The 9,268-nt window shown below is 39.8% G+C and overlaps 1 annotated feature.

The window, feature by feature from the left end:
* Positions 6,911 to 6,960: an enhancer, noted in NCBI's record as "active region_25742". NCBI's record gives its function as "activates an Ori minimal core promoter by ATAC-STARR-seq in GM12878 lymphoblastoid cells {active_cell/tissue: GM12878}" and the evidence as "EXISTENCE:reporter gene assay evidence [ECO:0000049][PMID:35858748]".

Raw genomic sequence — 9,268 nt, 5'->3', positions numbered from 1 at the left:
TTGATTGACTGATTACCTTGATCTTAAATTTTATCAAATCTGAAATATAAATGCTGATAGTTTTACAGAGTTGGCTTTTTTATTTTCGGAAGCTACGATTAAGACTAATTAAGTAGTTGTAAAATATAGATAGCCACAGAACTTCAAAATGACAGTAAGGGAGAATAGAAAGATAAGTGAGAGCAGAGCTTTTAGGTATCCAGGGAGTCCTCGAAACTCTGAAATTGCAAAATATTGAGTGTGTGCATATGTGCACTTTTCTGGAGAAACAGATTATAGTTTTGCATCAGATTCTTAAAGGGGTTTATAAATCACAAAAGATTAAATAAATCCATTATAACAGAGAGAGAGAAGACAGAAGAAATGACATTTTTTTGTATTCCCCAATGATAGTAATAACAATAATGTATTGAACTTTTATTTTATGCTTTTCACTGTTTTGAACACTTCTATTGATATTCTTATAATTTTTGAATCAACTCTATTATGATCTTCAATTCACAAATGAGGAGATTCAAGTTTAAAGATAAATACTGTAACCTGTTCCAAGTTATGTGCCTAGTCCGTGGCAGAGAAAAATGCCCCAACACTGCCCTCTTATCCAGCATACTGCATCCCCTTCAGTGCTCAGATTCATTTTACTTTACCCTTTCTGTCTTCCTAATAATTTTGGTTAAAAAATAGCTTTTAAATTTAACCCCCTGGCAGTCATGAACTGGCCAGTGCTCAAATTTCTGGCAGGGCAACCCCATTTGCAGGGCATAAATATAACTGAAGACATAACTGAATACTTAGATACGTTTTCATCATTGTGCAATCTCACTAATGGATTGGCCTCTTGTTCCAAGTGGAAAAGTTGTGGTGCCTCGCCTGATGGGCAGGCACTTTCCAAGTCCTGTTCAACTATTAAATTCTGCTTGTTAGGTTAATGAAAAGCAAATTTGCAGTACCCCTACTAATGTAAAGCATTCTAGCAGCAATAAATTTGTATGACCCTTATTTATCACTTCTTATTTAAGTAGTTGCAAACCCTCAGAAATGGCCTTTCATATTATGAAAATTCACTTGCTGAGGATAACACCGAAAATCCACCCCATTTCCAGAGATCATCTTTCAGAGAGATATTTAAATGAGGACATTAAATTGATTGTACTAAATGCAGTGAGTGATAGGGCATATTGTGTTTGCACTCAAATGGGTGTTGACTTTATGGTGTGCCTAAACTTAATGATAAATCAGTGTTAGGAACTTCAGCTGAAGAGTTCAGTTTCCCTGATCACCTTTCATCTCTGAGTGGTGATCTTGCATATTTGGCACTTATATGTGCAAAGTACCTTTGTCCTCCAAATGTCACTGTGGATGCAGGTGCATTTTATGATTGCTGCCTCAAAGATGGAGAGACTGACAGGGCTACGGAGAGTTGAATTAATGACTGACCCAACAATTCCAGACGGGGAATGCAGGAAGAAGATGGAGCGTGTTGGAGAAGATAATGGTGGCAGGGGGAGGGTCGGTAACCAGGGTGCTGGGCTTCCTTGAAGCAGCCAATATGGTCAGGCTCTGACATCACTGTCCTCATGTATCTCTTGTTCCTTCCGCCTTTTCCTCTTCTATTTTCCACCCTTTATGCTTCTCAATCATACTCCACATATACGACTTAAATTATAGGAAACAGTATATAGCATAGTGCTTAAGAAGAGGCTTTGGAGTCAAACAGACTTTAGCTCAGTAGAAGTGATCTTGGGCAATTCTCTCAACTTCTCTGAATCTCTTCTGTAAAATTGGGCTAAGAAGACAGAATTGTTACAAGGATTTTAATTTAATTAGATCATACATATAAAATAAGGATTTTAATGTAATTAGATTATGTAGATACATAATATCGGTCATAACTTTTGTTACCATCATCAGAAACAAAGCAATATGAGGCAGAATACAATGAAAGGTTTACCTCTATATTACAGACTATAGGCTGTAATATAGTCTCCTTTTATCAAAGGAGACTCGTTTTATCAAAGGAGACTCGTTTTATCAAAGGAGACTGAGGTCTGGAGAAACCTGGGGTGTCTTCTAGGGGCTGGGGACACTTAAGCCAGCTGCAAAAGATGACAAGATTTAGATTAGCAAACAAGAAGGGGAAGGAACTGTATAATTGTGGTGGTTTTACACTTTTGCAAATTCTTTGACACATTTCCATAAAAGTAGAGTCTACTTTCCCTCTGTTTGACTGTAAGCTGTCCTTGGTACCTTTCTTCTAATGAGTAGAATATGGTGGAAGTGAGATTGGGTGACTTCTGATACTATATTAGAAGATGTGATACAGTGTGTCTGTCACTTTGTCATCCATCCATCCATCCATCCATCCATCCATCCATCCATCCATCCACCTACGTAAGTCTATTGATTGATTTAATCAATTAATCTACCTACCTACCCAGATCTCTCTCCCTCTTTCTCTCTGACTTTAGAGACCTGAGCCACTTTGTATGAATTTAGGCTACCCTAAAGCCACCATGGAACCATGTCGGAAGACTACATGCCCAAGGAGCCACAGCTGCTCCAGTCCTGACTGTTTGAGTCTTCCCAGATCTGGCATCAGATATGTGAGAAAGCCTCCTCTCCCAGCCACAGTAATTGTGGGAGAGACTCTGGGTGAGAACTGCCAAGCTGAGTCCAGTTAACCACTAGAACCCTGAGAGATAATAATAAAATGTTGTTTTAAGCCACTAAATTTGGGAGAAATTTGTTATTCAGCCATAATAACAACAACCAAAGACATTCAAACCTTTATGATGTGGTTTGAAAGTGTGTCGCCTCAAAATCTCAGGTTGAAATGTGATTCCCAGTGTTGGAAGTGGGATCTGGTAGGAGGGGGTTGGATCATGGGGGCAGATCCCTCACGAATGGTTTAGTACCATCCCCTTGGTGATAAGTAAGTTCTCCCTAAGTTCATGTGAGATCTTCAAGTTTAAACTTCAAGTTTAAAAGTCTGGGACCTCTCCCCTCTCGCACCTCTCTTGCTCTGGCTCTCTCCATGTGACATGCTCATTCCTCTTCACCTTCAGCCGTGACTGTAAGCTTCCTGGGGCCCTCACCAGAGGCTGAGGAGATGTCAGTCCGTGCTTTTTATACAGCCTGCGGAACTGTGCACCAATTAAATCTCTTTTTAAATAAATTACCCAGCCTCAGATATTTCTTTATGTGACACAAAAACAGCCTAACACAATTTATAAACCAAAGCAAATTTACAAATTAAATCGTAAAACTACAAAACCAGTAATATTCAGTTGAAATAGGTTAATTTATGTTGACAAATGATGTTTTTCAGTCACCAGATTGATGTTTATGTCATTAAAAGGTGAATGCTACAGCACAAGCTTTTGGCAGATTGATATGCGAGCGCTGTGTGATGACTCAATTCTCCCACCACCCTGCTCCATTTCAACTACCATGAACCCATTGCTTAGACATTGCACAGTGGCATCTGGCCTCCATAAAGCACTAGCATATCATCACTGTGTTCTGTTCCTGCCTGTTTTCTTTTCACATCAGCCCGTAGCAACTAAAGGTATCTTCCTGATGCCAATGTGATCCTCTGTGCAGACATAAATCCAGGCACTGATATTGAGAGTCAACACCCAATATTAACTGGTTATCCAAAGAGCCCAGGTTTAAAAAAAACATTTATTTCTTTTTAGATTAATGCGAAAATGAAATGTAAAACTTAAACATTCTCGTAGGAGGTTATTCATCACACAGGAGGTATTAGAGAGCTAGGCTCTACTGGAAGGGAGGGTGGTACCCTCCAGGTAGGTCTAACCAAAAAGTTTGGCTGAAGTGGAATAGAGTCGTATTATAGATGGCCCTGAAAGCCAGGATCTAGAGTCTGAAAAATGAACTTGCAGCCATTATTGGTTCTTGAGTATGGGAGTGTGAGAGGATGAAAGCTCTATTTCAAGATTCACCTCACAGTTGTATGTAGATGATGAACAAGACAAAAGGTGAGGCTGGCGTCAAGAAGACTGGCTAACAGTCTCTATAATTTTACTAATCCTGGCACTTAAGAAAATCAGTGTTCACCAAGTTCTCACTGAGTATGTTGTACTTTACTGGGCTCTTTGAAAAATACAAAGTAGAGATTGTGAGTTGGATTTAGTTTCAAGACTTGGATTTATGGTGTTCTTCCTTCCACTCCTGCTTGTCATTGATAAATGATACAACCTTGGTCAAACCATTCATGTCGCAACACCTCTGAGACTTCATTTATCAAACAAGGGATAATGATATATACATTCCACCCTTGTTATAAATATTAAATGTTAAATACATATATATTAAATCTTCAAAAATCTTCAAGTCTTCACAGAATAGAATGAGTTTTTACCCTTTAGAGGACACTTTAGTGTTAGATTATACTTATATGAAAACATTTAAACTGTTGCAGAAAAAGAGATGATTTTAAAAATTGCACTAACTCTATTGTAACAGCATTAATAGAAATTTTGAAAATGGAAGTGAGCTCTCAGAATTCCACAGCTACCAAATATCGACTTTTTATTCTTCCTATTTCTTGCTAGTTCATATACATATAAATACATCCACAATGCATAGTATAGATGTATTGTTGGGGCCGAGCATGGTGGCTCACGCCTGTAATCACAGCACTTTGGGAGGCTGAGGTGGGTGGATCACGAGGTCAGGAGTTCGAGACCAGCCTGGCCAACATAGTAAAACTCCGTCTCTACTAAAAATACAAAAAAAAAAAAATTAGCTGGGCATGGTGGTGCGCGCCTGTAGTCCTAGCTACTCAGGAGGTTGAGGAAGGAGAATCGTTTGAACCCAGGAAGTGAAGGTTGCAGTGAGCCAAGATTACACCACTGCACTCCAGCCTGGGAAACAGAGCAAGACTCTGTCTCAAAAGAAAGAAAGAAAGATGTATTGTTATGTAGTGTTGTATTTTGCTTTTTTGGTAAACATTAGCATTTTCATGTCATTCTATAGTGTTCACAATTATTTTATAACTGTTCATCAGGTTGGTATAGTACACTTGACTTAACCAATCTCTTTATTGTTTGAAGCCCATCTATATGTGTAACACGTTTCCTTCTTTCCTTCTTTCCTTCTTTCCTTCCTTCCTTCCTTCCTTCCTTCCTTCCTTCCTTCCTTCCTTCCTTCCTTCCTCCTTCCCTTATGGAAGAGAGGAAAGAAGGCAGATTATAAAGCGCTGGGAATGGAATTATTGAGGCAAAGATAATATTTTTAAGAAATTATTTATTGAGCTCTCTTTCAAAATTGGAAGGTATTATGTATTTTAGAAAAGTCAGATTTTGGAGTATGATTGAAAACTCAGGACAGACAGAATCCAATTACTAGGTCTCTTCATTGAAATTCTTTATTTGTGACACTTGGTTTTTTTTTTTTGGTCTTAGTGGCATGGAAGAAAGCAGAAGGTTGCTTCCCAGTCAACTTTAAAGAGTCTTTTGAGGAGTATTACTTGTGTGGCAAGTGGGCTATTGTGGGAATAAGGGCTTGTTAACTGAGTTAAGCAAACGAGTGATTGAATCTGCCCTGGCAGAGTATGATTTAGAGTAAGTATAGTCTTAGCCCCGCAGTGATGTCAGATGGACATCAGTTCAAGAAAATCTTCAACCCCAGTAAAACGAGGTTAAGCTTGTGTATTAATTTGCAGATACTTCTCTGGTTTAGGAATGACCTAAGGTTTATCTGCCTGCTTACATTAATCATTTAAGGACAGCTGCTGGAAGCACAGTGGTTTAATGGGGGATGCCAATCCTTCTGGAATAAACAAGGTCACCAGGTGCCAGGGAATAAGTTCAGCTGGAGCATTATTATCCTGCTCCTCCAAACTTTTTTTTAAGTTACATTCTTGAAGATAAGGGGCTATGATCTGGGACTCACAAAGTCTGAAGGTTTGATAGTCCAAAGTCCCTGAACTTTGTCACACAGATGGCTGAACTGCCATCAGGGAATTGAAATGAGATCATGATGCAGCAAATTCTTCTCTGTGTGCCACGGTCCCAGTACTTATTGAACGGTTTTGTAAACAGTATAAATATTAACTGTCTCTTGTGTGCCAAGCCTGAGTTAGGTAATACTGCAACAGTAATGACAGCCTCTGAAAGTGAGATTTAGTCAGGTAAATGATAAAAGGATTTCAGTTTTGTTATTTGCTTTTGATGGGCACGTGGAAATGTCTGCCTCCATGAAGAAACAGACAGGCACATTAGTTCTCTAAATACATCCATTCTCAACCTTGGCTGACTTCAGAATCCCCAAAATACTGGAAGCTAGGCTCTACCCACATCAATTGAATTTGAAATTTCTGTGTGTATGTGGGGTGGGGGTGGAAGGATTTCTGGAATTTTAAATCCTGACTCAGAATTGAGGGAGGATCACTGTTCTCATGCTACTGCAAAAAGTGTCTGAGACATAGATATAAATATAATTAATTCTGATTGTTAACTATATATGCGTGTTGTTTGTTTAATGTCATTGACATTGTGATTATTCACAGAAATCCTGCCCCTTCCCTTCTTAGCACTGGTTCCTTATCTGTAGCTCCCAATGTTTATTTCTCCTAAAGTTTCCCCCAAACCACATTGCAAATCTGGACAGTCACAGCCTATAATCTCTTTTACAGCACCAGATACAGTATCATTTAGTTACCACGAAAATTCTGACTCCTCTTGGATAAGGGAAAAGGCATAATCTCTGCCAATGTTGGAGGCCAAATGTGGAGTTCTCATAGCTCAGGGAGGCTGGAGGGACTCCAGGAAAAGCGAATATGAAGACTCAGAAAATCATGGCTATTAGAGTGGAAGGGACCTTAGTGCCTAGTCATCTCATTCATGGGCAAGGGAAATGAAAATATGGAGGTCAGTACTTATTCAAAATCACACGCAGCCAGTTAGTGGGATCGTTGGGTTGGGAGCTTAGGTCTCTCAGTTCCCTGTCACCGCGTGGAGGGGAGAGGATGGCATTTTGAGGAAAAGCAGAGTGGGCATGGGGCATGTCTCCCTCTTCCACCAGAGCAGCTTTGCTGAAATCTGCTTTGCATAAGAGACTTTTAGAAAGGGTTGAAAACCACAGCATGCTAGAGCATACCAATGGTTCTGGTTTCAGTCACCATAATTTTTGCAAGTTCTGCTAATCCAACAGAGCTTGTTTACAGAACATTTAGCAGAGAAGTTTCCAGTTTTTAAAAACAGAACACACACACACACACCCCTTTAGAGACTCCACCAAACCCTATTTCTAGAGATCATTGCTCCCTTTAACTCAATCCTTTTAACTTGTGAAAGGGCCAAACATCACCGCATTGTGGACACTCTAAAATGCAAAAAGTTAACCTTTTTATGCCCCTGTGCCAGGACATTTTTCTAGGTTCACAACAAATATCCTTGGTTTTTCACTGTAGGACCTCTCCAAAATTCTTTTTTTATATTATGTATAGGTATGCGAGTTTCTAGCTCCAAGCTTTCTGAAAACAAATCAATTGTAATAGCTTTCTATGTACTTTTTCTGGGTGCAGAGATTATATCATGTAATTCTTACAATAACCTAGTTATTTAAATTAGCTCCATTTTACAGGTGAGGCTGGGAGGATTGGTCCTCTGCCTAGGTCAAATATCTCATAAGAGGGGACTTAAACCTCAGTCCCTCTAATTCCAAAGCAGTAAACTCCATCCCATAAACAATCATTATAAATACATTATTTTGGCTGGGAGCAGTGGCTCACGCCTGTAATCCCAGCACTTTGGGAGTCTGAGGTGGGCAGATCACAAGGTCAGGAGTTCAAGACCAGCCTGGACAATACGATGAAACCCTGTCTCTACTAAAAATACAAAAAATTAGCCAGGCATGGTGGTGTGCGCCTGTAGTCCCAGCTACCCAGGAGGCTGAGGCAGAAGAATCACTTGAACCTGGGAAGCGGAGGTTGCAGTGAGCCAAGATCATGCCACTGCACTCCTGCCTGGGTGACAGAGCGAGACTCCATCTCAAAACAAAAACAGAAAATTATTTTTTAAAATTTGTCTTGAGGCTTATAATCTACAATAGCTAAACAATTATGAGATATGCATATAATTGCAGTCAATAACAATCATGTTTTAGAAAAGTAATGATACAGGAAAATGCATATGATACACCTTTAAGTGAAAAAAGCAGGAAACCCCCAATTTTATAAAAGCAAAAAATATATATGCACACATGTAAAAGAGTTGAGGAAAATGCATCAAAGCATCAAGGGTGTCTACCTCTGGCCTGATGGTATCACAAATGATGCTTTTTTTCCTTTATTATAATTATTTCCCAATTTTCTACAATAATCATTCAAGGCCAGTCATGGTGGATCATGCCTGTTAACCCAGCAGTTTGGTAGGTCGAGGCAGGAGGGTCCCTTGAGGCCAGGAGTTTGAGATCAGTCTGGACAGGGTAGTGAAACCCCATCTCCACAAACAAACAAAATTAGGTGGGCATGGTGGTGCGTACCCATAGTCCTAGTTACTCAAGAGGCTGAGGTGGGAGGATCACTCGGGCCCAGGAGTTCAAGTTAACAGTGAGCTATGATTGTGCCACTGCACTCCAGCCTGGGTGACAGAGCAAGAACCTGTCTCTAAAAATAAAATAATAATTCAACAAAAATTAGCAATAATATACTTTCCACAGTTGTTTAAACTCAAAACTTCTGCAATATGAATACCCTGAAGAGCTGGAAGTACTCTCATGTCAGGATGCTATGCCACGGTCAGAGCGGGGTAACACAGTCACGGTTGAGGATGAAAAAAGAAGCAAGACATTCGGAGAACTTCCCTCCCAAACGTGGATATTAGTCAGCAGACAGGATGAAATGTGACAGCACTCAGATTTGGCTTCTCACAAATATGCCTCCCCAGCTCCTGTTCACGTTACCACTGACAGACCCTGCAATTACACGGACAACAAGTTAGACGTGTGTGTTCAATACCAAATAACTATCAAAGGTTTTTTTGCCAAGTTGTTGAAAGTAGTAACAATAGAATAGTATTGACAACACTGTTTCACAGCCAGAGTACAGTAAGTTTTCACTTAACATTGTCTATAGATTGTATGGTAAATGCACCTGAGAGCAATAACTTTAGCGTACCCTGAGGATGACCCTGTATGACAGATGCACCTGAATGTGTGTTCTGAGCTAGGGAAACTGGGAATGGCCAGCTGGAGATTTGTTCCTTGTTTATGAGGAACATCTGAGCCCCCTTCCTGTCCC

Source organism: Homo sapiens, chromosome 7 (assembly GCF_000001405.40).
Source record: "Homo sapiens chromosome 7, GRCh38.p14 Primary Assembly".
Lineage (NCBI taxonomy): Eukaryota > Metazoa > Chordata > Mammalia > Primates > Hominidae > Homo > Homo sapiens.
The sequence above is the reverse complement of the archived record's forward strand: the minus strand, read 5'-3'. Positions and strand labels throughout refer to the sequence as shown.